The 26,345-nt window shown below is 52.4% G+C and overlaps 1 protein-coding gene across 21 annotated transcripts in view, besides 4 other annotated features; it reads left to right on the forward strand.

Moving 5' to 3' along the window:
* Window positions 1–26,345, forward strand: part of KAZN (kazrin, periplakin interacting protein) — a 1,225,220-nt gene that overhangs the window by 1,044,268 nt on the left and 154,607 nt on the right. For 18 of the 21 annotated variants that reach the window (XM_011541074.4, XM_005245795.6, XM_011541080.4 and 15 more), the window contains one exon: window positions 23,593–23,784. In XM_011541074.4, the coding sequence (XP_011539376.1) occupies window positions 23,593–23,784 (192 nt within the window). Of the gene's footprint in view, window positions 1–8,689; window positions 9,083–23,592; window positions 23,785–26,345 lie in introns of those variants that run through there. The other 3 variants (XM_011541076.3, NM_001017999.3, NM_001370230.2) reach the window with 2 other exon arrangements.
* Window positions 2,713–3,214: an enhancer, noted in NCBI's record as "H3K27ac-H3K4me1 hESC enhancer chr1:15266300-15266801 (GRCh37/hg19 assembly coordinates)". NCBI's record gives its function as "activates a minimal SCP1, AML or CMV promoter by ChIP-STARR-seq in primed H9 embryonic stem cells {active_cell/tissue: H9 hESC(primed)}" and the evidence as "EXISTENCE:reporter gene assay evidence [ECO:0000049][PMID:30033119]".
* Window positions 6,940–7,535: an enhancer, noted in NCBI's record as "H3K27ac-H3K4me1 hESC enhancer chr1:15270527-15271122 (GRCh37/hg19 assembly coordinates)". NCBI's record gives its function as "activates a minimal SCP1, AML or CMV promoter by ChIP-STARR-seq in primed H9 embryonic stem cells {active_cell/tissue: H9 hESC(primed)}" and the evidence as "EXISTENCE:reporter gene assay evidence [ECO:0000049][PMID:30033119]".
* Window positions 10,180–10,680: an enhancer, noted in NCBI's record as "H3K4me1 hESC enhancer chr1:15273767-15274267 (GRCh37/hg19 assembly coordinates)". NCBI's record gives its function as "activates a minimal SCP1, AML or CMV promoter by ChIP-STARR-seq in naive H9 embryonic stem cells {active_cell/tissue: H9 hESC(naive)}" and the evidence as "EXISTENCE:reporter gene assay evidence [ECO:0000049][PMID:30033119]".
* Window positions 15,682–15,976: an enhancer, noted in NCBI's record as "tiled region #2794; HepG2 Activating DNase matched - State 5:Enh". NCBI's record gives its function as "activates a minimal TATA promoter and a strong SV40 promoter by Sharpr-MPRA in HepG2 cells {active_cell/tissue: HepG2}" and the evidence as "EXISTENCE:reporter gene assay evidence [ECO:0000049][PMID:27701403]".

The following is a 26,345-nucleotide window of genomic DNA, read 5'->3' on the forward strand; positions in this document are numbered from 1 at the left end:
TTCTTGCAGTGTGCAGCCCCTCTGGGCATAATTCTTGCAGTGCCATCTGCAAGTGTCACCCAGAGGACAGCGTGGCAGAGAGTGGCGCTGCAGAAGGTGAAGATGGCTCCTCAGCAAGCCTGTGTCTATGCCCCTTGCTAGGTGTTATAGGACCAGAGGAGAGCCTTCATCATAGACCCTGCTAGTTAATTACTTGCAGGTTTTCTTAGAGCACCTACTTGGGGCCAGCTCCCTTTCTAGTTCCCTGCAGAGGAGCTCAGTTTTCTCTTTTACGAGTTGTTTGTACTTTCCTGCCTTTCCCTTCCCCCTCCATCTTCAAGGACTAGCAAATCAGTTGCCACCTCTTAGGTTCTGTCCACAGTCTCCTGGCCGTAATAATCACGTCCCCTCCGCCTCTCTCCCTGCCATCCTTCTTTGATCACACAAGTCCCAGGTCAGCTTGTAGGAGGACCCCTGGATCTATCAGCCTCCTGAGTATGGGGCCTGGGTGGGGTTGACTGAACACCTTCTCCTTCCCACCCCAGTGTGCCTGCTCCCTCAAGGGGCTGCATAAGCACTTGCTGTCACGTCCCCTTCGCCAGTTTCCTGGCACATCCCTGATAGAGCTGAGCACGCTGAGGTCAGCAACAGCAGCTGGTGTTTTGGGTGCTCCAGACGGCATCTGGCTCCTCTCAGTCTTCCCAGTGGGAGTCTGATCTTCCAGCCTGTGCCTGGAGCGTGGCCATCTCCCTGAAAGGCGCTGATTGCTCTCCTTTAGAGGTGACTTGAATCCATACCCAGCAGGCAGGCCGATGCTACCTTCTCACAGCAGAGCAGGCATGCATGGCCCAGGAAGGTAGGAATTTAGCAACAGGGCACCTTTGCCTTACTCTGTGCTTGGTGGTATTTAGGGCGTTTTAGCCTTCCTTGTGTAGAACAGGCTCCCCTCACTGAGCTAGGACAGGTACACAGACACAGGGCTCTGAGTGTGGGGACGTTGGAGTCTATGTACCAAGTGCTTAGGGTCATAGAGCCCCACTGCCTGGGTGCAAATTGTTCCAACAGTGGGGACCCTGAGCAAGTTCCTTAACCCCTCTGAGCCTCAATATCTTCATCTGTAAATTGGGGTGCTAGCCCTATCTAGTAGGGGTTTTGTGGAGATTAAGATCATTTGTATTGGTTCAAAATGGGCCGGATGCGGTGGCTCACGCCTGTAATCCCAACACTTTGGGAGGCCAAGGCAGGCGGATCACCTGAGGTCAGGAGTTCGAGACCAGCCTGGCCAAAATGGCAAAACCGCATCTCTACCAAAAATACAAAAATTAGCCAGGCGTGGTGGTGGACACCTGTAATCCTAGCTACTTGGGAGGCTGAGGCAGGAGGATCACTGGAACCCGGGAGACAGAGGTTGCAGTGAACCAAGATCGCACCACTGCACTCCAGCCTGGGCAACAAGAGGGAAACTCCATCTCAAAAAAAAAAAAAAAAAGGGTGCTGGAGTGATATAAGACTCACCAGAGAGATGGCCAAGTCAGACAAGTCCAGAGTCCAATACTCAATAGGACGTCAAGCACTGGGGCAGGATTTGGACTTCCTGGGGAGAAATTTTTGCAGTTAGCATCTGCCCGGGCTTTGCTCTCCCACTTAGAAGGGGATATCTGGCGACAGTTGGTCAGAATCTCATGCATTATGAGAAGACCACACTGGAGACTCTCGGGCAAGCTGCTTAATCTCTTTGAGCCTCAGTTTCCACCTCTTGTAAAATGAGAATGATGGCACCCATCCTACAGTAGGAACTTGCCAAATAGAGCTGCTGCTTTATCAATAAACCATCTTAGATACTGTGTGCAATACAATGGATTGCAGATAATGATGTTTATTTATTTATTCATTTTTTGTTTGATTTTGTTTTTGTTTTTTGAGATGGAGTCTCACTCAGTTGCCCAGGCTGGAGAGCAATGGCATGACCTTGGTTCACTGCAACCACCACCTCCTGGGTTCAAGCTATTCTCCTGCCTCAGCCTCCTGAGTAGCTGGGATCACAGGCACCCACCACCACACCAGGCTAATTTTTATACTTTTAGTAGGGACAGGGTTTCACCATGGGGCCAGGCTGGTCTTGAACACCTGACCTCAGGTGATCAACCCACCTCGGCCTCCCAAAGTGCTGGGATTACAGGTGTGAGCCACCGTGCCTGGCCTGTTTATTCATTTTAGACACAGGGTCTTGCTCTTGCCTCCCAGGCTGGAGTGCCATGGCAGGATCATTGCTCGCTTCAGCCTCAAACTCCTGGGCTCAAGTCATCCTCCCACCTCAGCCTCCCGAGTAGCTAGGACTACAGGCACACACCACCATGCCTGGCTAATTTTTAAAACATTTTGTTTGTAGAGACAGGGTCTCACTTGTTGCCCAGGCTGGTCTCGAACTCCTGGTCTCAAGTGATCCTCCCACCTCAGCCTACCAAAGTGCTGGGATTACAGGTGTGAGCCTCTCGCCTGGCCAGTGATGTTTATTAAGCATGAGGTCCGCATTGGCAGTGGGAGGTGCCTCTGCATTGGGACGTGCCTCTTGCATAGGGTGGAGTGTGTGTACTTGAGGGTGTGCATTCTCGGGCACTCGCCTCTGCCTGTTGGGATATTGAGAGCCGTGACAGTGACTGAGCTTTGAGCTTTGTTGTCCACGGCACAGGCTCAGGGTCCAGGCACTGTGCTGAGCAGTGATAACAGGAGGTCCCTGCCAGGCTGGACAGAGAGACCCTGAGCTCCTCCTCTGGAGGCAGAAGGGAGACTATCACATGAACCCCAGTCACAGGGGGCCTGGGTTGACCTAGGGAAGTCCTCAGGCTCAGCCTCAGGAGTGCCAGGTTCCAAAGGCAGTGGCAGAGCCTTCACCTAGCCTGATCATCCCACCCAGGGAGGGGTCTGCCTCCCTCTGTACCCCTGAAGCGCTTAAATGCCTGGGAGGCAGGCATTGATTGGTCCCTGCCTAACCAGTGGTTTGGCAGGCCATGGATCAGGTGACCATCTTGGTTCAGTCAGCTGCCTCTGTAAGAGTGGGCGGGGTACTTGGTATAGAGAGCTGCTTCCTTCCAGGGCCTGTGGGAAAGTAGCTGTGGTGGGAGGAATTTAGGGCAAGGAAGACAGATTGACTCATAATGTCCAGTGCAGTTGTTCCCCTTGAGTTTGAATACCTTCAGGGATTGGAAACTCACTTCCTCTCCAGGCAACCCCTACAATTTTTGATTCGTTTTAAGCATTCACTCACTTTTATATTGAGCCAAAAATTGATCTCACAGTAGCATCCACCCATTGGCCTGTGCCCTACACTTGAGGATCTTACACACTGAGTCTGTTTCCTTGACATGATGACCCCTCTGTTGTAAGAAGACAGCCACCATGGCACGGGGGCCAGCTTCGTTTCTCCAGGCATTTTTCCTCCCAGCCAGGGCAGAGTAGAATGGGTTGGGTGGTTGGGAGCACAGGGCTTCTTGCCTTGATCCTCCCAGCTTAACCAACCTTAGAGCTCTCGTCCCCTACTGGGAGCTCTTTGTGAGGGTGGAGGAAGAGCTGCTGGAGCCTGTACCTTCTCTTGCACGTCCTAAGGAAGAATGTTCCCCGGGCTGAGCTGTGTGTTCCTGGCTCTCTTGATGTTTGTTTAAGAGGACATAGCAGGAACTCAAAGCCATCAGGCAGCCCCTCTGGAAGCAGGCAGGAAGAGGGGCAGGTGGAAATGACTGCGGAGTGCTATCAGGGTGGATGTGGCTAGCCCAGTAGCCTGGGCCTGGCCAGGCAGGTGGAAATGACCAGACAGATGTCATTCTACCTTTCTTTTTTTTTTTTTTTTTTTTTTTTTTTTTTTCTGAGAGACGCAGCCTTGCCCTGTCGACCAGGCTGGAGTGCAGTGGTGCAATCTCGGCTCACTGTAACCCCTGCCTCCCGGGTTCAAGTGATTCTCCTGCCTCGGCTTCCCAAGTAGCTGGGACTACAGGCGAGCGCCGCCACACCCAGCTAAATTTTTGTATCTTTTAGTGGAGATGGGGTTTCACTATATGTTGGCCAGGCTGGTCTCAAACTCCTGACTTCAGGTGATCTACCTGCCTCGGCCTCCCAAAGTCTGGGATTACAGGCGTGAGCCACCACGCCCGTCTTCATTCACCTTTTCTGTAGCCTGCCCTGCATCCCCACCCCAGTGCCATCAGGTCAAAAGGGACCCAAAGGCATGCAGTGGCAAGTTCACATATTCCTTTTGGGGTCCATGAGTGGCGTCCAAGGCCAAATAAACAGTATACTCACCTCTTGGCAAGAGGGTCCTGAGAACATGGGCACTCAGCCGAGAGATTACAAAAAAGAGGAGGGCAAAGATGGAACAATACATTAACTGCCGACCATTGGAAAAAGGAGGTTGAATTTCTCTGCCTGGGAATTTGTAACCTGAATCAGCAGCCTATCTTCTAGGCCAGGGCAGCCTGGGTTGGGGGGTGGGATGGGGGTGTGGGGTGGGGAGGTTCCGGTTTTTTTTACCCTGCTTCCCCAGAATTAGCTTTCTGCAGGTGTACATGCAGAGAAGATGCGAATTTCGAAGATGTATAGCTTTCTCCAGAGATCAGGAGCAGGGAAGATTTCCTGGGCACTGGAGTTATCCTGAGTTAATTTTCATGAATGCCGAAAGCTGAAAACGCTTTGGTTCTGCCCATGGTCTTTGCTGAAATCCATGCTGTCTGTTCACCAAAGAAGGACCAGAGAGCTGCTGTCCTCTTGTCTGGCTTCCTGGGTTTGGGCTTCATTGTCCCAGGCATCAGGATGAGAGAATAACTAGAACCCGGCATTGGTCTTTTGTTGGATTTCTGGGATATCTGCAGCTATGGGCCGTCTACCGCTGGAGGTGGGGTGACCTCATGGCTTGGTTGGTGGTCAGCCTACAATTCCAGAGAGACGTGGCAATGAGCCCACTATACAGGGCTTGTTCGTGTCCCAAGTCGTGTTACAATGCAAACACCTGCTCCTGATTAGGACTTTTATTTCTTCAATTGGTTTATTTTCTGCAGCTTCACCCAAGCGTGGAGGCAGTGTTGAAGCATCACAAGCTGCGGTGTTTATGTGGCTTGTTTTGCTTTACACCTCCCACCCCTGCCAGCCCTGTACGCCCAGGGTGCACATATTTGTCCCCTGTCCTCCTCAAGCAGCCACAAGTGATCATGGCATTATTGCAGATGTGTCGGGAAAGAGGAAACGTCCCCAGACGTTCCAGGGATATATATGGTTTGAGGTTTGTGGAGTGCGGAGAGGAAAAAGGAAAGATCTAGTAGAAGTTCAGCTCAAGAGAGTAGGGCAGGAGAAGGCTGACTTAGAGAATAAAACATGTAGATGAAAGAAACGCTTCCGACCCGCTCCAAACGTTAACACGCAGTGTTTCTGCACAACCTTCTGTTCTTTATTCAAGCTGCGCACTTTGATCCTACAGCAGCCGAACCTAGAACCTACTCTTCTCTAGTCAGTATCATTTTCTCCTGGGAGATGAGGGGTAGAGGGTGGCTTTAAGGAAAAACATGTTTTGGCATGAAAGCACCTCTGGCCAGGAGACTGTAGTCCTAGGGGGTCTTTGGCTTGATGGAAGGACGCTTTTGCCCCTGGGCTTGTGCCTTGGGCTAGCTTTAGCTCAATGGGCACTTCTTGGGCTTAGAGCACAGGTCAGGGCTGCACCAGATGCTGCAGCTTATAATACCTGGCCAGAAGGGTGTCTAGGAGGACCTGGAAGGATGCTTCTCTGTACAAGAGATTTCCTTGTCTGGGTTAGCAGGGCCGTCTGTAATCCTCTAAGAAAGGCAGGCCTGGAGCTGGTCACCACTGGTGAAAATTCGGCATCGCCCTTCTGTCTTCCTGCTTGTTGTGGTCTTGTGTTATGTTGAACTGGATGTGAGCTGCGTGTGTGTGTGTGTGGTGTGTGTGTGTGTGTGTGTGTGTGTGTGTGTGTGTGTGTGTGTTGGGGAGGAGAGCCTTGGGTTTTTTTTTTTTTTTAATTTACATTTTTCGAATAGTTTTCTCCTCTGCTCTCCTTAGAGGCGGCATGCAGAGTGGAAACAGCGTTTGACCTTTGTGAATTGTGGGCAGAGCTAGCCAGACAGACGGGGAAACATTTGGTGGGAAGTCAGAGGCCACTCAGAGCAAGAATTAAAGTTCCGTCTCTACCTTTTTCAGTCCAGAAACCAGAGAAAGCCAGAGGGGACAGCAGCAGAATAGTGCCCAAGCCTCCAGATTAGGATTGCAGGATCACTTCCTCAGCAGTCACCCCCCGCCAGCTGCTGGAGAGCCTACTCCGGAGACCTCTCAGCAAAGAATGTTCTACCTGAGGATTTACATCAGAGATTCCAGAAGTCTCTGGGGACCCAGGACAATGCTTCCTGGCAAGGGCTGGTCTCACAACGAGAAGGCAGTGTGGTTCTTGAGGGAGGAGCAGGAGGGAAAATAATAACCAAAATGTATGTAGTACTTGCCGTGTGCCCAGCAATGTTCTTTTATGGTATAGACCCCCAATTAATCCCTACAGCAATCACTCCCATTTTACAGATGAGAGAACTGAGTCACGGAGAGGTGAGGTGACCTGCTCAAGATCACTTGGTTAGTAAGTGGCTGGGATGCCTTGCTTGGAGATGTGTTTCTAGCTGCTTAGACGGCATCGCCTCTCAGGCGAGGTGCTCAGTGAGTGTCAAAACCAAAAGTTGAGCCGGGCACAGTGGCTCACGCCTGTAATCCCACCACTTTGGGAGGCTGAGGCGGGCGGATCACCTGAGGTCAGGAGTTTGAGACCAGCCTGACCAACATGGTGAAACCCTGTCTCTACTAAAAATACAAACTAATTAGCCGGGCGTGGTGGCGCATGCCTGTAATCCCAGCTACTTGGGAGACTGAGGCAGGAGAATCGCTTGAACCCGGGAGGCGGAGGTTGTACTGAGCTGAGATCTCACTACTGCACTCCAGCCTGGGTGACAGAAAGAGACTCTGTCTCAAAAAAAAACAAAAACAAAAAAACACACACTGGATATGCAGCTTCTATGTCAGGGTCGAGTTTTCTTGTGGGGGAAGAAATTCTGTCTTCAGACATAAAGGTAACTCGGGGACTTGAGTTTGTCTGCCTCTTCCCGCTCCCAGCTCCCCCTCCTAAAAAAAAAAAAAAAAAAGCAACTCACATTTTTCTGTGCCTTAATTATATGTTTGGTTCACAGACTAAACTGCTGAAACTCTGTAAGTGAAGTAAGGGTGTTTTTCTAATCAGCTGTGTTCATTTCTAGTCCTGAAAGGTTGTGGCCTGATGCCGGGGAGACACAGCTGTGGGGGCCCCCGTTGGTGTCCTACTTGGTTTCAGAAGCCATGCCTGCCACGGCCCCTGGAGATGGGATGGACCATTCTGGAATTGCAGGTCTCTCTCGCCTTCGAATAGGCAGGGGTCCTAGGGGGACACGAATGAACTGCCCCAGAGAGGCGGTCTCCAGTGTGGACTGCCTGGTGTCTGTGCATGGGAGATGGGCCAGGGGCAAGGGGCAGGTGGGGAACTGGGCTTGGGCCTCCCCATACCCCAGACTCCTATGTGACCCAGCTGAGTCATGGTGCTGTTCCCGGGGCCTTGGGGTTGGCTGGCCTTTATTTAGGACAATAAAACCCACCATTGTAATCTTCCCAGGCAGCTGGGATGATAAACAGAGAAGTGAGCACTTGGAAGGAGGGAAAAGTGCTTTATTCAGCACTTTGTCAATATCAGCAATATCAGCCCGCAGCAAGGCCTTCTGCGGATGGCGGCACCATCCTGTTCTGGGCAGGGCAGGAGGCCTCTTGCCCGCCTGCCAGCTGATCTGCATTCTGGGCTTCCTTCCGAGTTACATTCGTTGGGTTTTGGGGTCGCAGTGGCCCTGCCACACATTCAGAACAGCATCCTGGGACAAAGTACCGCAGGGGACAGCACCAGGCTGCACGGAGGCTCATGGCCCACAGCTCCCTAGCTTTCTGTTCTTGGGCAGGCTCCTTATCCCTTTTGCCTTAGTTTCCCCATCTGTCAAGTAGGACTGAAACTACCCCTGAGGTCTCTGGGAGGTTGCAGGGGATGTGTGCCCAGCATCAGGAGCACCCCTGCAGGCCTCGCAGCTATAGATGGTGGAAGTCCAGTGCTGGAGGCTGAGTTGGGTCTCCTGTGAGGCAGTCCCCCGTGGCCCAGTCCTGGTCTTTCTCAGCCCAAGGTAATTTTTCAATTAACTCAATTGGCTGGAAACCGGGGCGCCCTGGAGTGTGGGAAAACGTCCCAGGCCGGAAGGGCCCTCCCCTCTGCCCCCACTCATTTGGGGCTTGGCTTCCAGAGGGAGGATCCAGTTTCACATCGGGACACCAGGATGTGATCCCCGTGCCCCTCTGAAAAATCCCAGATGGCGCCTTCTGGAAGCCCTAGCAGTCTCCGCACTGGCGGCCAGTCTGTCCTCCCTCCCTGCCCCCTCCCCCCACCCCGGCTGGCTCCCCGGCCCGGCTCCAGCTCCGGTGGGGAGAGCCTCAAACACTGCTCGTTAGTGACTTTATTGCTAAACAATTTAGAAAGGCAGCCCTGCCAGTTTTCATAAGTGAAACATTTAAAGTATGCAAAGCATATTTTATTTCTTCCTGGAGCAGCTGCTCAGGCAGGCTGGAGAGTAATCGGGAGTGAGTTATATGGATTTGTGAGCTGCCCCGCAGCACTTTCAAGCTCCACGGCCTCGAGAGCCTCCCACCAAAGGGCAAGTGTCCGCTCCGGCCCGGAAGACTTGGGCAGCCTGAGCCCAAGACTTGCTCTCCTTTCCTGTCGCCTCCATGGAGTCAGGCATGCCCTGTGATGGCATCAGCAGCTGTCTGCCAGTGTTGACGGAGGGCTCATGGGTGCCAGGCCGCTTGCTGGGGCTTTTTATCTGTCCTCAGGCATTGGCACAGCAGCCCTGGGAGATGAATACTATTGTGATCTTCATTCTCCACACAAGGACAGGGAAGTGACGTGCCAGGGTCAAACAACTACCCAAGGACAGAGCCAGGATTTGAACCAGGCCATCCAGTTCCAGAACCACTGCTCTTCACTGTCATTGTGGCCATTTTACAGGTGAGGAAGTGGAGGGACGTAGAGGTGATGTGATTGCCGGAAACGCCCACTAGGTGTGTACCTTCAGAAGCTGCATGGGAGACAGTGAGTCCCCAGGTTTGCCATTTGCTCAGACCCCAGTCTGGACTTCTTTTAAATTCTCTCTCTCTTTTTTTTTTTTAATTCTCTCTTTTTTTTTTTTTGAGATGGAGTCTCGCTCTGTTGCCCAGGCTGGAGTGCAGTGGCACAATCTCAGCTCACTACAACCTCTGCCTCCCGGGTTCACGCCATTCTCCTGCCTCAGCCTCCCGAGTCACTGGGGCTACAGGCGCCTGCCACCACGCTTGGCTAATTTTTTGTATTTATAGTAGAGACAGGGTTTCACCGTGTTAGCCAGGATGGTCTCAATCTGGTTTAAATTCTTTAGAAAGCACGCGTCTGTTCACTATGGAGATCTGAAGATGTGTGAACTGCAGGCTCACCACCCTTGTGTGATGGCGACGTCTAGGAGAGCCTTCAGCTGAGCCCCCGTTCACCTACTTCTCCTCTTAGCAGAATTATTTACATCTGCAGGGACTGTCAGCATGCCTTACTCATTTTGCTGCATTTAACCCGAGTTGAAATCTGATACTGGCTTAGCATGTAGTGTGTTTCCAGTTTGTTCTCCAGCTCATGGTATAGCCAGTGGCCGCGCGGTTGAGGTTGTGGATTCCAGACTTTCCTCTAGGCTTTGGTTTGATTGTCTATAATATGGAAATAGAAATGCCTGTTCTTTCCCCTAGTCTTCTCAGAAAGTTAGCTCTCCCGCCCGGAGCTAGACACGGGAGAACCTGCTCTGTGAGGTGTGGGGCAAGCAGCTTCCATCTTTCCGTGGGTTCTGGGAATGGGTGGAGAAGGAAACTGAGACACTGGGTGTTATGCTGCTGAGTCACACTCAGGGTGGGAAAGAAAGCAGGGCTGGGCTCTCCCGGCCGTTGTAAGGCCGTGCTCAAGTTGCTTCCTCCCGATCTGCAGTGAGCTTTGGGCTCCCTGTGTGGATGGTGTCATGAGGTGGTGGATGTAACTAATGCGCGGCCTTCCTTCTTTTTCCTCTTGGGGTGTTGGTAATTTTTTTTTCCTCAAGGGTGGGGAAGAGGGAGGATGGATGAGGATGGATGGAAAGTCCTGCACAGTGAGGATGTGGAGGGAAGCAGGCAGTGCCACCCGGGGCTTGCTGTCCCTCCCCTGGGTACCTCCCTTCAGGAGCCTGGCCTTGGGGAGGGGAGGAGATTGTTGCAAGAGCCAAGACTGGGGGACCTGGCCATTTTTTTCATCTGAAGCTCAAAGACCCAGTTTCAACGCTGTGCCCAATTTCAACTCTGTGTCCACCTGTGAGACTATTTGTCCTGACATTTAGTTTGCGAAGCAGGCACAGCATGAGACTTAGGGCTGGGAGCCTATCCAGTGGTTAGGAACATGAGCTTTGGAATCAGACCAGCCGGGGTTGGGATCCAGCTGTGCCACCTGGACCAGCTCTGTGACCTTGAACAAACCTGTTGAAGCCTCCATTACTGCCTCTGCAAAATGGAGAGAATGCTAGCACTTCTCCCATGGGGTTGGTGAGAGAATCTGATGGGCTGAGGCTCAGTGCCAGGCACATAGTGAACACCCAAATGGGAGCTGGAACCCTCAGGTGAACCCCAGTGGCTGTGGGTTGGTGCAAAGACCCCTCCAGATGGGGGAAAAGGAGAAAGACTGATATGGGCAGGAAAAGCCTGGAAATGGCTTTGAGGCAGAACTTGAAAGGTTTGTGACATCCAGTGTTTCAGTCCAGAAGGACTGGTCACTGGGAACAAAGAGAAGCTAGAATTGAAGTCTAAAGAGTGATAAGTGCTCACTGCTTGGAAGAACTAAGTTCCCTTGTCCATTTTTGCTCATCCAGTTTTTGAAGAAAGAATAAGGTAGCCTTCAAGTTTGTAGGGAAGCTAAGTGCCCAGAAAACTGTCTCTGACAAAAACAGTGTATCAGGATTCTTTTTCAAGTACAAGGGATAAAAAAGATGCAACTCAAACTGGCTTAAATGAAAAAGGGAATAATTGGCTTATGTAACTGAAAAGTTCAGGGATAGGATCTGGCTTCAGGTGTGGTGTGATCCAGGACTCAACTATTCGGATATTATCTGAATCCTGTCCTGGTCTCATTGGCTCCTCCCCTCCCAATGGCAAGACAGCTGCCAGCAACTCCAGGCTCCATCCTCACAGCCTGAGCCCATTGGTAAAGAGAGCACCTGGATCCTGGTGCAGAGATTTACCTCTGATTGGACTGACTTGGGTCATGTGCCTTCTCCTGAACCAGTCACAGTGGTCAGGGTGATTCAGTAATCTCATTAGCCAGACTGGGTCATATTTTCATCCCTGAACCACAGGTGTTGACAGTGGGGGCTCCTGAAAGGGAAATGGAGGTGCCATGTTGAAAAGAAGGGTCATAGATGTCAGCCAGACAGAAACGTCTGCTGCCCAGTCCAGCGGGGGCTAATAGAGAAATTTGGAAAGAAAAGGCTGGATGAGGTGGCCTCTCAGAGAAAGCAGTAGCATGGAGGCTCAGCTTGATGGCTGTGCTAGGAGTCTTCCTTGTACCAATAGGATGGCCCAGTAAGCTCCCATCCCAAGTCAGCCCACCTGACTTGTGATGAACTGGCAACAACTTGCTGCTTCTAATCCCTCAGTGGAAAATGTGCTCATTAGGCCAGTCATGGTGGCTCATGCCTGTAATCCCAGCACTTTGGGAGGCTGAGGCGAGCAGATCACTTGAGGTCATGAGTTTGAGACCAGCCTGGCCAACATGGCAAAATGCTGTCTCTACAAAAAATACAAACATTAGAAGGGCGTTGTAGCACATGCCTGTAATCCCAGCTACTCGGGAAGCTGAGTCAGGGCACTTGAACCCAGGAGGCGGAGGTTGCAGTGAGCCAAGATCATGCCACTGCACTCCAGCCTGGGCAACAGAGTGAGACTCCGACTCAAAAATAATAATAATAATAATAATAATAATAATAATAAGTAATTTGTCTGTGGTTTTACATTAAGCAACTGAATTGGGATTAAAGGGAAAAAAACATTCCTTTATTAAAACAACAGTTAATAAATACTAACTTAAAAACAAAAAAAAGAAAAAGAAAATGTGCTCACTGAGGGCTGGAGGAGGCAGCTGGCCAGGCCCTGAGCAGAGGCCAGCACTTCCCCATCCCTCCTGCCCAAGCAAATTCCCAAGTAGGTAGGAGCAGACTGTTCATAAGTCATCAAGGAGGCCTGGCCATGGGCTCTGGGACTGAGCAGTCCTTGCTGCCACCAGCAGTCGGGAACCCAGCCACTCTGGTGGCAGGCAGGTGCCTGCCTCTCCCACCCCCACCCAGATGGTGTTTTTCGAGATTCACATTCCTCCTGGTGCCAGAAGCACCTGCCAAGTGATTTTTGTAGCCTCTGCCATGAAGGTGTTACCCAAACCTCCGGCAGACCCCAGGGGGCTGCGTCCTGCAGTGCCAATCCTCAGGTGAAGTGGGGCTGGAGGTCTGCGATTCCTTGACTTCCCCAGGACATCCCTGCTTCTGAGCCTGTGACTGTCACCCTTCCAGGACAGCGACATGGTTGCTGCCCAGCCTGTGTTTGGTGAGGGGTGGGTGAAGGCATGCAGGAGAGTACAGGTTTTCTGGGGTGTGGAGCTGGGTGGGCCCATCTCCCCATGGGAACTCTGGGCAGCAAGATGGTAGAAGAGGATCCGCTTGGCACTCAGGGCACCGAGGAGGGTCTGGCTAAAGGTGTGTTTACAGGCCAGCGGCTTCACCGGAAGAGCCTCTGCACGGAAGACGGTTTCAACACCACCTAACGGAAAAAACAGTTACTGTGCAATATGAGAAAAGGACAAAGGCTGTATTACCTGAGTCCCTGCACCCTCCACACCCACCCGTAGTAAGAATTACCAAGCGGCTCTCCGGGCTGGGGAGCGCCGTGGAAGAAACCCTGTGGAGGAGTGGGTGGGTGTTATTTGAGAGTCTTCTCCTATTTGGGGATTGCTGTACTGCTTCCCATCACCCCCTACCGAGTGTCAGGATCATATGACACAGGCCCAGAGGACATGGAAATCTCCACCAAGCCAGGCTCCTGTTCTTGCCTGCCTGCAACCCTGGGGACTGAGGGAGGGATGGGAGGGTCCGTTTGGCAAATGGGGACAGAGGTGGTTCAAGAAGATGGGGCTGTTTCCAGCTCCCCATGCAGGGACCAGGCAGGAGAGGGGAGGCCAGGCTGGGCCTGAGAGGGTCAGCCCCACAGAGGGAGTGACGCCAAGCCTAGGCTTACCTCTCCCCGAAGGCTCAGGATGGCCAACAGAAACATGGGCTTGAGGCTGGCATTTTCCAGCCTACACTGGCAGACTTCTCACTCCACAGGCAAATCATTAAGCTTAGGACGCTGCGAGCTGAGTTTCCCTGTGGCAGCTGTGGTCACATACAGAGCTTTCAGGAGGCTTTGGAGGGGTCTGCAGTAGAGAGCCAGTGTGGCTGCTGCGGCGGCCCTGGGCTGAGCTAATCCAAGACTCCCAACCCCACTCAGATGCTGGGTCAGCTGAGCAAAGACACTGAGGTTCTGTGACCTCAGGCCTCCCAGTCCAGGGAAAAGATGGAAATGGGGGTAACTCTCCAGGGAGGGTTTCAGGGTTGTCTGCCCAGCTGCAGGCCCAGAAAGGAAGAGTGCACAGGGCTTTTGTCTACCTGCAGGGTGTCTTGAGTCTGGCAGCAGTACCCACAGGAGAAAGGGAATAACTCAGTGGTTACAAGCAACAGCAAACTTCCTATGTTTAACTGCATGTTCTCTCTGTGGCTCAGTTTCTTTTGTAAAATGGGGACATCCCCTAGGGTTTTTAAGGGGATTGAGAATTCATGCACATGAAGATTTCAGTCAATCTCAACACATGTGAAAGGCTCAGAAAGCATAACTGTTATCACCTGGGCAAAGGCGACAAGCACATTCAAGATCAGAGCAAAGATGCATTTCTTTCCTGCCACGTGCTATGCCCACACAAGTACAGAACCGAGGAGGTGCCCTAGTCCACTGGCAAAGACTCCCATCCCCTCTGCCCTGGGCAGTGGGCTCTGCCGGCCTCCTCATCTCTGATTCTTCCTTTCAGAACTCCCCTCCTCTGCTGGGTACCTGCTTTGTTGAATACGTTAATAACATTCATCCTGTCACTGCTTAGCCTTGGGGTCCTGGGAGTCCCTGTCTCTTAATATGACTTTGCCCATGAGAGTCATTGTGTCTCTGTCTTTTTTTTTAATTTTTATTTTATTTATTTATTCATTCATTCATTTATTTTAGACATAGCCTCGCTCTGTCACCCAGGCTGGGATGCAATGGCACAATCTCGGTTCACTGCAACCTCCACCTCCCAGGTTCAAGCAATTTTCCTGCCTCAGCCTCCCAAGTAGCTGGGATTACAGGTGGCCGCTACCACACCTGACTAATTTTTTGTATTTTTGGTAGAAATGGGGTTTTACCATGTTGACCAGGCTGACCTCGAACTCCTGACCTCAGGTGATCTACCCGCCTCAGCTTCCCAAAGTGCTGGGATTAAGGCATGAGCCACCATACCCATCTGTGTCTCTGTCTTAAAGCTTTAACCCTCCAAGGGCAATATGATTCCTTATTTTTAGGATAAGCATCATTCCAGTGTACTAAGATCACATTTGGACCTGATTTGGGCCCAACTCAATAATAGCAAGAGTGGTGGCCAAGGGAGCACTCACAACCTCCTAGGTGCTGCTGGACCAGTGCATGGCAGGGCGGCCGCAGAGCCCAGCAGACCTGGGCTTGATCCCGTGCCCTGCCAATGTCTGTGAGCCTCAGGCGGGGACCACCGCAACCCTACATGGGGTCATGAGATGAGGGCTGTCATCCAGCACATGGCATCCACCTGCTCAGGGGTGGCAGCAGCCATGGTCTCTGCAAGGCTTCATGGAGACAGTGGCAGGTCAATACAGAGCTCTTGTCACTTGGAAGTGACTTCCATTTGACTGTGGTGGGTGTGGGACCATTCTCTAGGCATCTGATTTCTTTCCCACTGTGTGTGTGTGTGTGTGTGTGTGTGTGTGTGTGTGTCTCAAGCAAACACACTAGTGTTTCCTGGTCACACAGACCCCTCGCTATCCACAAAGCCACCAAGATGGATGGGGTTTAGACCAGGATACCCCTTTCACGGGGGCCTGCTGGAGAATAGGGGGTTGATTGGTTGTGTATCTGGATTTATTTTGCAGGGAGGGCTATAAAAATGAGTTTTTAATGGAAAATCTGAAACATGCTACTGCTATATTTAGATTTTTTTTTCTTGGGGTATAATTCACATACAGTGAAATGCTCAGCTCTTTAGTGTACAGTTTGTGTTCAGTGAGTTTTGATATTTGGGCGTGAGGCTGTTGATCAGGGTGTCCACCCCGATGGTCAGCTGGGGACGGTCCCTCCAAGCCTGGACTCCACTCAGAGCCCCCCAAGCTCTCTGCTTCCCTAGTTCTCTAGACTTGATGGCTCAGCCTTCAGCACATTCATCTCTGCTGTTTCATCCACCTTCCTGGGCTGGGGAAGCCCGAAGGTCAGGGTTCTGCATTTAGTGAGGCCAAGGTTTTCCTCCGGAAGATCAAGGAGGTTTGCCCTTTTCCGAAATGATCATGATGAGCTACATTTGACCCTCATGTAGAACCTTCCGGAGAGTTTCCACTGAGATGATTGCTTTGTTTAATGTTTACCGCAGGCCTGAGAGACTGGCCTTGGCTCCATTTTCAGATAAGAGATCAGAGGTTGCTTGTCCACAGGTCAAATAGCTGGGAAGTGGGGGAGCCAAGACTGAGCCCCAGCTGGCTGACCCCAAACCTGCATGCCCGCCTCAGAACTGCACTGCGTGCCTCCCAAGAACACGGCACAGAGCATGGTGTCGGGTGTTGGGTGTGAGCAGAACAGAGTCCCTGCCCTCATGGAATGGACAGGCTGACTCCATGGCCACACCCTTCTCCAGGGGCTGTGTGGGGAGTGTCCCCAGTGGAGGGCCAGAACCACCATGCGCTGAGTGGCTGACTCACTCATACCCTGCTGAGGGGCATGCCCCCCTCTGCTGGCATCCACCAAGCCAAGCCTGGTTGCCACCTGGGCCCTGCTGGTTCAGGAAGCCCTTGTGTCACCCACAGACCTTGCTCCTCTCCTTTTGGAAGGTGGTAGTGTGGGAGTTGAGGCTGGAGGTGCTGGAACCAGACCATCTGTGTCCAAACCCTGGCTCTGCTCTTCACCCTGTGTGACCTTGGCCAAGCCATTTAACTCCTCTGTGATTCAACTTCCCCATCTATAAACTGTGGATGATAAAATAGGATCTGCTTCATGGAGCTACTGTGAGAATTAAACTAGTTAAGTAGGTAAAATACAGCAAAGCTTAGAACATATAGTATGTGCTCAATAAGTGTTAAGAAAGATGTAATTGTTATTATAATAAATAATAATCATAATATTATTGTTACTTAGACCTTTGGCTTGGGGAGGCTGGATTTACAAACCTACGATTCACCAAGAGTCTTAGCAGTCTGAGAGGTCGCCTTCTGTTAAAAGGTGGCTGCTGTAGCTCTAGCCATTGAGTCCACTTCCCAGAAGTGGAGAAAGTGGAGAAAGGTGGAGAAAGAGGTAAAGCCTTATTTTTGTAAGAGTCATTCCTCCTAAAGGACTTTTTTCTGCACCTCACTGCCCAGAAGTGTGTCACATGGACAACCCTAGCTGCAAGGGAAGCTGAAAATAGCATTTTTAGAAAGTGGGACTCATTGCTTTTGCAAACTAAAGGAGATGGGCTGCAGAAGGGCAAGGGTCTGCCCCAGCTCCCTTTGCCACCTGGTATGGACCTTTCCTCTGAGTGGGTACACCACACCCCCTTTCCCTTGGGGAGGAGGCCCCTGGGGACCTGCTGCATGGCCTGCCAGCTGGTATCATTATCCCCCCTGAGGGCAGCACCATTGGTAACAGTTGGCTCCCTGGGGCAGGAGGGCCACCGTTTCCCAGACAATGTTTACTTCCTGCTACCATGGCCAAGAGAACTCTGCTAAGTCTATGGGTTTTGGGCCCCTCTACTTAGAGGCCTGAGGGCACTGTGGTTCCCCAGCGTCAGCAGAAAGGTACCCAATCAGTCTTTGGGCAAAGGCCAGGAGAGTTTTTTGTCCTTGGGCAAAGGCCAAGAAAGTTTTCTCCAGTAAGGATGACTCCTTCCTCAGTAGCTGTCTTGCCTTTGGCAAATGGCTTTCTCCTGTCATTGGGTCATCAGCCTGAGCTGTACCAGATGCTTAACAAATACCATCTTCATCTCACACCCTCTAGCCCAGTGCCAACAGGAGAGCTTCGTGCAGTCATGGCAGCGGTCTGGATCTGCACTGTCCGGTACCCTAGCTCCTAGCCACGTGGGTGCACGTGAAATGTGGCTAGAGAAACTGAGTTTTTCATTTTAATTAATTTATACGTAAGATAGTCACCTGTGGCCAGGCCCAGTGGCTCACACCTGTAATCCCAGCACTTTGGGAGACTGAGGCGGGCAGATCATAAGGTCAGGAGATTGAGACCATCCTGGCTAACACGGTGAAACTCCATCTCTACTAAAAATAGAAAAAATTAGCTGGGCGTGGTGGCAGGCGCCTGTAGTCCCAGCTACTCGGGAGGCTGAGGCCGGAACCCAGGACCCAGGAGGCAGAGCTTGCAGTGAGCCAAGATCGCGCCACTGTACTCCAGCCTGGGCGACAGCACGAGACTCCATCTCAAAAAAGAAAAGATAGTCACCTGTGCCTAGCAGGTACCATACTAAGCAGTGCAGCTATAGACCCTGCCCATGAGGGGAGAAACACAAAATCGGTAGCATTCATCTAGACTCATAAAGAGTGGGTCCCTCTAAGGGAACCCATGTTGTGAAGGCCCAGAGAGAGACAGTGACCGGCCCAAGGTCACACAGCAACGTAATCTTTCCTCTGAGAAAGAAACACAAGTCTTCCAACGGCAGCTTCTTTATTGTTTCTTCAGAAATGTGGTTGGTCCCGTCAGTGCAGAGGGGAAGGTGAGTTGTGGACACAGTGCTCAGTGTGCCAGGCACATGTAAGCGCTTTACGCATGTCTTATTTATTCCCATCTCCCCCGTTTTACAGGTGAGGCCACCGAGGCCCAGGGAGAAGTGCCTGCTGGTGGCCCCTGAGCTGGTGAATTGAGAGGCTGTGCTCTTGGAGCTTAGGCTGAGATTGCAGTACCAGGGCTGTCTCCACTCCTGGAAGAGTCTGGGGGATGCGAGACCTGGGCCTCCATGCCCAGCTGGGGCAGATGCAGTTAGCAAGCTCCGATAAGCCTCTCTCTTTCCATGGAGTTGTTTTTCCAGCCTGGTCTCCTAAGACTTGGCTCCTGCAGGTGCCGCACCTGGTGACCCGCCCTGGAGGCTCCCATCAACTTACTCACAGCCTGACTGGAGGGGCAGGGCTTAGGCATCAGGTACACCTGTTAGGAAGGTGCACGCAGGAAAAAATCTGCCTTTGCCACTGTTAGTCAAAGAGAAAGGCACATGGCACCCAGCTCCATCTCACTCTCTGCTCTCATCTGAGTGCAGGGTGCAGAGAAGACCCTGGCAGATGCCCTTCCTGTGCCTGCCCCGCCTCCCTCCTGTGCAGTGCTCAGGCAAAGCCTGCTCCCCTGGTTGCCCCATTTCATGGTGTCAAAATCCCCGTGAGATGAGAGTAGCACTGCTGGCATTAAACACAAGATGCCCAGTTAAATTTAAATTTCAGATACGTGCTGAATCAATTTTTAATATAGGTTGGGACATATACTGAAAATGATTTGTTGTTTATCTGAAATTCAAATCTAACTGTGCGTCTAGGGGTGTTTGTTTGGCATTACTTTGTTTTGTTTTGCTTACTCTGGCAACCCTAAGTGGGTGGCATCTGTGCAGCATACATGACAACTGAGACCCAGAGAAGTGACACGAGGCTTATGCAAAGTCAAGACAAGGCCCCGGCCAGGCCTGGGTTTGAAGCCAAGTCTCTTGGAATCCTTTGCCTTCTTCCTGGACAATAGTAAACAATCTTGGTGGCTTCCTTGGGTGGTTGGAAGAGACCCAGAAGTCACTGAAAAAAAAAAAAAAAAAAGACCCAGCACGGTGGCTCCCACCTGTAATCCCAGCACTTTGGGAGGCTGAGGCAGGTGGATCATCTGAGGTCAGGAGTTCGAGACCAGCCTAGCCAACATGGTGAAACCCCATCTCTACTAAAAATACAAAAAATTACCCAGGCGTGGTGGCGGGTTTGTAGCCTGTAATCCCAGCTACTCAGGAGGCTGAGGCAGGAGAATTGCTTGAACCCGGGAGGCAGAGGTTGTAGTGAGCTGAGATCGTGCCATTGCACTCCAGCCTGGGCAACAGGAGTGAAACTCTATCTCAAAAAAAAAAAAAAATTAAACAAAAACAAACCTGCCTCTTCTACCTGTGTGACAATGGACATACTGTTAGCAGTCACTCACACCTTATTGTGAAATAGACTCTTAGTGACAGCCAAGCAGGGAAGAGGGGCCCTGGCAGGATGGTAGATTGAAGAGTATTGATCGAGAGGAGAAAATTCCAGCCTTGGCGACTGCTAGAGACAGTGAGCTGAGGTGGGAGCACCGAGGGGTGGTTGGGGCTGAGGCCTTTTATAATCTGACCTCTCCAGCCTTCCTCCTGTTCTTCCTCACCTGGCACCCATTTCCTGGTCACTCAAGACCCTCCAGCTTTGCAGCCGCCTTTGCTCACACCATTTCCTCCTTCCCCAGTCGCATCCTCTAGGGTCCATCTGGAATGCCGCCAACTTCTCAAGGGTGTCCGAGTGCTCTGAGCAGATGTGGGCCCTTCCGTGTTCTGTTTCTTCGTGTGTGCGTCTATTTGCTGGAGGCTTCTTGAGGCCAGGAGTCTTTCCTTCTCTCTCCTGGCCTGGAATGTAGGTGGGCCCCAAATGTTTACCCGGAATGAGAGCAGGGGCATGGCCCCAAAAGCAAACCTCCTACTTAGGAGTTTTGCTAAGAGACTTGCTGCCTCCATGGCATATGAGATTTGGGGATCCTTTGACCGTGGGGTCCAGGAGCACTAGCCTGAGAGTGGGGCCTGTCTGGGGCATTCACCCCAGTGCCCCCGTGCCTAGAGCCGTGCATGGTATGAGGCAGGGGCCTCTCCATGTTGGGTGGATGGAGCCATTCGACAGACGTTACCGAGTGCCCGTGATGTGTCGCGCAGTCACTGTTTCCAGCGCTGAAGACCCAACAGTGAAGGAGACGAGGCAGGATATGCGATTGGGCCCCGCTCTCGGATCCTGTGTCCACCAAGCACGCCGCTGGGGAGCGAGTGAGCCTCCACGTCACTACGGGGTTTTGTCCGGGTTGCCTGCCGTGCTGTTGACGCTGGACAGGAGCGGAGCCGTTTTAGGTCTCTTGAGGCTGTGACAGTGAGGCTGAGACAGGCTGATGGGAAGGAAATCATGAAGAGGGGAGACGAGCTCCCAGGCAGGTCACAGCTCTGCGGAGGCCCTGAGGTGTGGCGAGTCTAGCGCCTTCCAGAACTGAGAGAAGCTGGCATCCTGAAGGAGGCCTCAGACAGGGCCAAAGAGGCAGCTAATATGCTAGGTGGGGCGGGGAGGCTGTCGGCACCGAGTGAGATGTGCCTTGCACCTCAGAGGCGCCCTCGGGCTTCTGTGGGGAGGAAGGACTCGGGTTAGGAGGAGCTGGGAGGGCAGGGAGGTGCCCTGGGAGGCCTCCTCTCCTTACAGGGGTGGCTGGGCCCATTGTGGCCTCAGGAAGTGATGTGAGATGGATGAGGGAACAGGGGCTGGAGTTGCCACCACCTTTTCCCAAGGCCGCTGGTGGGAGAGAGGCGCCCCATCCTCAGGGCTCAGCCCTGCTCCCCCTCTGCCTGCTCCCTCCCCTGGACCTGGCTCTGCCCGCTCAGCCTCGAGGCCAGTGGATCCCTAGTAGTCCAGAGGGTTGTAGTGCCTTAGAGATTGCCAGCAGGCACTGATGGCGAGGGTAGGGCATCTAGGAAAGGGCAGTGCATTACCAATATTGGACCTTCTCTGTGTACATGGCATTCACGGAGCACATCTTGCATAGGTACATGGAGCATTTCCTGTGTATGTGGAGCACTTCCTATGTATACAGGGCACTTCTTGGGTACATGGAGCACTTCTTATATACATGGAGCACTTCCTGTGTACATGGAGCACTTCCTATGTACACAAGGCACTTCCTGGGTACATGGAGCACTTCTTATATACATGGAGCACTTCCTGTGTACATGGAGCACTTCCTTTATGAGGAGGGGCACTTCCAATGCCTCCGAGGAGCCTCACAGCCAATGAGGGTTAGACCCGTTTAACAGATGCAGTGTCCGAGGCTCAGCAGGGTGGGACAGCCACCACATGCCTGGCCGGAGACCTGGTGACTCCAAAGCTGTGCCCCCAGCCACGCCCCTTCCATGACCCTCGGGGGCGAGGACTGTGCACCAGACCTCCAGGGAATACACATCCCCTTTTACCAGCAGGGACGCTCCTGGCTCTACCTGCATGTGTCCGGTCTAGCCAGGGCTGCCCTTGGCCCCTCCCCTGGTCCCTCTGTGATCTGGAATGGAGGGAAGGGGAAGGCAGTGTGGGGAGGGGAGGGGAGGAGTCCGTGCAGAGGGTGGGACGGCCAGGTGGCCAGCGCAAGGCTGGTGAGTGCGGCGCCTTCGTCTGTTCATTCTCGAGGGCAGCCAGGTGCCAGGTGCTGTTCTAGGCATGAGGATGCGGCCATGGACAAAACAGACTCAAGTTCCCGCCCTCCTGGGCCTTACAGCCAGCCTGTGGATAAACAGATCCATAGGGCATGACAGGCGCTGATGAGTGCTGCGGAGAAAGAGCAAAGAGGAAGGAGGCCGGGGTGCAGGGAGGCGGGGCAGAGTTTGTGCTGAGCTTCCGCCATAGCAGTGATGGACACAGACAGCCCTGCACCCCCACCCGCCCCTAGAGCCAACATTGAGTTTGGGAAAGAGACAGATAAATACAGCATCACACAGGGCGGTGAGAGAAGACCCTTCCACGCAGGTGATGTGGAGTAGACGCTTGTGTCACAATGAGGAGGCAGCCACAGGAAGAACCAGGAAAGGGTGTTCAGGTGGAGGGCACTGCAGAGACAAAGGCCCTATGCTGGAAAGAGTGTGGCATATTGTAGAGAGAGGGACCAGTGTGGCTGCAGGTGGGAAGAGGGAGAGGATGTAGGCAGAGGCCTGGCCCCAGCCAGGGCTGCCCTTGTCCCCTCCCCAGGTCCCTCTGAGATGTAAAATGAAGGAAGGGGAAGGCAGTGTGCGGAGGGTGGGGGCGGCCCGGTGACCAGCATGCGGCTGGTGAGTGTGGTACCTTTGTCTGTTTATTCTCAAGGGGACCTGCTTAATGAATATTTCAGTATGTCCTTCCACGGTCTCCTAAGTGAGGTTTCCTCCTTCTCTTAATGCACTCTCCTAAGAGTTATGCAGAGGTACACGTAGCCTGGCGCCTGTGCACAGCCTGATCACTGCCTCCAGCACCCCTTAGCAGTTCTGTTTTCACTATTGCCCAGGTGAGCTGACCTGGGCATGGGTGTGTCTATCCGCCCGCAGGACTGAGAAGCTGACAATACCTTGGTTGACACGGCTCTCACTTTGGGAGGATGGCGCACCTTCTGGGTCGCTTCCTGAGGCACCCCACAGCCTGAGGAGACACCGTGTTCTCCTTGGCCCCATTTCTGGGGCCTCACTGTATGTAGGGTTGGATTTAAGTGCTGCAGAAACCTCTGCCCACGGTGTCACCTTGTCACTGCTCATTAGACCCTATTTTCCTGCAGGACAGTCAGGTGCAAATGCACAAGTTCTGTTTGTACACAGTGCTGAGCTCCTCGAGGGTATGTGTTTTGCAAAATGTGTTGAATATGCCTTTCTATGGCTGTTTCCCAAGCATGAGACTGGGAGTCCAGGCTGTGGAGTCAGCCAGGCCTTGGTTCAATTCCCAGCTCTGCTATGTACTAACTTTATGACCACCTGGAGTTACTTAATCTCTCTGGGCATCGATGTCCTAATTTATAAAATGGGGTTATGATGGTCCCTGCATCCGAAGGTTTTGGTGGCTTAAATGAGATAATGCATATGAAACTCAACTCAGCATGCTGTTGGCTCATGGTTATGATGCTAACTCCTAAGACCGTCGGCCACCAGAGCGGACACTCTGAGTGCAGGACAGCGGCAGTGGAGTCCTCGGGAGTCGTGGTGGAGGGGTCTCACTAGGTGAGCTCTGCAGACTGTGGGTGGGGCCTAGAATTGGTGCTGAGGCTCTTTGGAATAAGGCAGTGGCCTCCCTTCACACATGTAGGAAAGGCCCTGAATGCAGAGCAAACAAAAAAGCCAAAGCCACCTCAAACCATCCCCAGAAAATGCGAGTGAGCGGCAGAGACGTTCCTGTCCTCTAACCCTGTGCCCTTCTCCCCTAGTGCTCCTGCGGGAAGAAGTGTCGCGGCTCCAGGAGGAAGTTCACCTTCTCCGGCAGATGAAGGAGATGTTGGCGAAGGACCTGGAGGAGTCGCAGGGCGGCAAGTCCTCTGAGGTCCTCTCGGCCACCGAGCTCAGGGTCCAGCTGGCCCAGAAGGAGCAGGAGCTAGCCAGAGCCAAAGAAGCCTTGCAGGGTGAGTGACGAGTCAGCAGCAGTTCCTTCGCTGGGAGCTCAGGCCCCAGGGATCTGGAGTCCTCCCCATGCAGGGGAAGTGACGCAGATGGACACAGGGGTCTCCCAGCACCCACCTCCAGCTGTGGCTGCCCTGTCCCTTCTTCGAGTGGAATTCTGCATCTTGTGGGCTGGGTGCAGATGCCATTCCTTCCTCCAGTGTGACCATCACACATTGTCCATATGGCTGGATGTGAGGTGTCTCCTTCTGGGGTGTGAATGGTGGATGGGCATCTTGGCTGGACCAGGACGCTGACCCAGCAGCCGAGTCTCTCTTACCCAGCACCCTTGGGGTCCTTCGGTGCCTCCACTCAGGGCATAGTGTGGCTACGCTGATTTCTCTGCTGGAGGACATGTCTGTGTCCCATGCGTCCCTCTTGCTCACCATGATGGGCTCTCCTGGGCCCAGAGGAAGGAGTTGGAAGATGACATGGTGTAGTGTCCAGGGGGTCTCTTGAAGACAAGGACCACAGACCCGTAACTACCATGTGGCTGGTGTGTCTTCAGCCAGAAATTGCTTTAGGAGATGAGGAAACCGCTGTCCACATGCTCAGCCTGGTTTCCCTGGAGGGACCCACATCCCTCTCTCCCGGGAGGCACTGCCACATTCTATGGGGCTGGAAGAAGGGTCTCAGCGGGTTATTTGAGAAAGGTTGGAAGCCATCATGTAACCTGTCAGTGGACTCCACAGTGCTTGGAGAACTCAGGCATGAAACATCTGGGGAAAACACAGCCTTTGGGGTCTGCATTGATTCTCTTAAGCCCCCTCAGTGTCTTTGCTTCTTCTAGAAAAGACAATAAAGCTTTGCAACCTTCTTTCCACTTACCATTCACTAGAACAATGAATCCTCTTTAAAAATGTTGTTTCTGAAGCTAAAGCAGGTTTATTAATTAGGTTAATACCATGCTGCTGTAACAAAGAGACCCCAAAACACAGAGGCTTAAAGAATCTGTTTCTTCCTTTACCACCCCACAGTGAGCATTTGAGGCCGGTTGGGTGTATGTGTTTCCCTGAGAGACCCCAGGGAAAGAGCCAGAATGGAGGGCCAGAGATTTGCCTTTGCAAGAGCTTGGTCATGTGACCATTCCTAGATGCAGAGGGTTCTGGGAAATGTAGTTTCTAGCTAGGTGGCCTTGTCCCAGCTAGGACTCTAACAGGGTAAAAGAGAGAATGGATTTTGCTGGACAGTTAATCGGCTCAGTGAGAGCCAATTCCCTGACAAGGGGTGTGATGTGGGCAGCAGGCCAAGAAGGCTATCTGTCCAGTGCCCAGCTGACTATCCCCCAGAAAGCCTGGGAAGTCCTCAGCTGAGGGTGAGCCCGTATCCAGAGTGTCACAGCACTCTTGACAAGTGTTCTTTTCAGCAGTACATGTTGCTTTCCAAGGCAGGTAGATGACCCTCTTCTTCTGGGGTCTTGTTTCTGGTGGGGTCACGGCGGCAGCATTTTGGGTGGTCTTTTGAAGCTGTAATAGACATTGGGGTGCATTGTGGCCCAGCTGACATGGCATGCCTGGGAAGTCATTTTGCCAAGTAGGCGTACTTTTCCTCTATGCAGCCACCCGGCAGTCTAGGCAGATCTGTGTGAGCCATCCTCCACGCCCAGCTTCCCAGGATCCTGTAATATCCATTCTCCTTCTCAGGATGGAGACCCAAGTCTCGGGAATCTCCCACAAGCAAGTGCTGCTGGGCTCAGGCTGTGCAAGCTGTTGTCGTTTGGTCTTGCCAAGCTTTATCATGTAGTGGAGAGTAGGGACTGGCTCAGGAAGCAGCCAGATGCTGTTCAATCACCTTTCCCATTCTGTGTCCCAGGGACAGAGACGCCAACCTCCACGTCTTTGACCAGGTACAGGATTCTCACCCCTATGTGCTCTTCTGGATCTGCAAGGAGGAGAAAAACCTCCCTTAGTGGTTCCTGGGCCTACAGGGATGGCGGCGGCGGGAGTTAAGCAGAGGCTCACTTACACTACCATCCCCAGCTCCTTGGAGGCTACAACCTAGCCTCTTTAAACCTACAATCTAGGATGTACAACCTAGCCTCTCCATTCCTGATCTGAGTGATTGGACATTAACAGTGGCTTTGCAGGAGGTTGTGAGAATGAAACGAGGTAATGTCTGGAAAGGTGATAGTTAGTTCCTGCTGTTGTCATAATGTACATCCTCCTCCCTTTAGCCCACAAGGCACAGAGCTGTACAGGCAATCTTTACTAACTCTGTGCTGTAAGATTTCTTATCCACCACCAAAGATCTTTGGCCTTGCCCAGGGACGCAGAGATCCACCCCTTTGTAGGAGTATTAATATAAGCAACAAGGACTTGTCAGTATTCTTGAAAAGGAAGCTTTATTGAGCACCTACTGGGTGCCAACACTCTTCTAAGTACGTGACTTACCATTCACCTCAATCCTGCCAGGAGCTAGAAACCCCATTTCTCAGGTGGAGACACCTGAATGAGGTTCAGGGAAAGTAAATAACTTGACCAGGGTGGCAGAGCTAATTAGCAGAAGCAGAGACTTTTTCCCACTG

Source organism: Homo sapiens, chromosome 1 (genome assembly GCF_000001405.40).
Source record: "Homo sapiens chromosome 1, GRCh38.p14 Primary Assembly".
Classification (NCBI taxonomy): domain Eukaryota; kingdom Metazoa; phylum Chordata; class Mammalia; order Primates; family Hominidae; genus Homo; species Homo sapiens.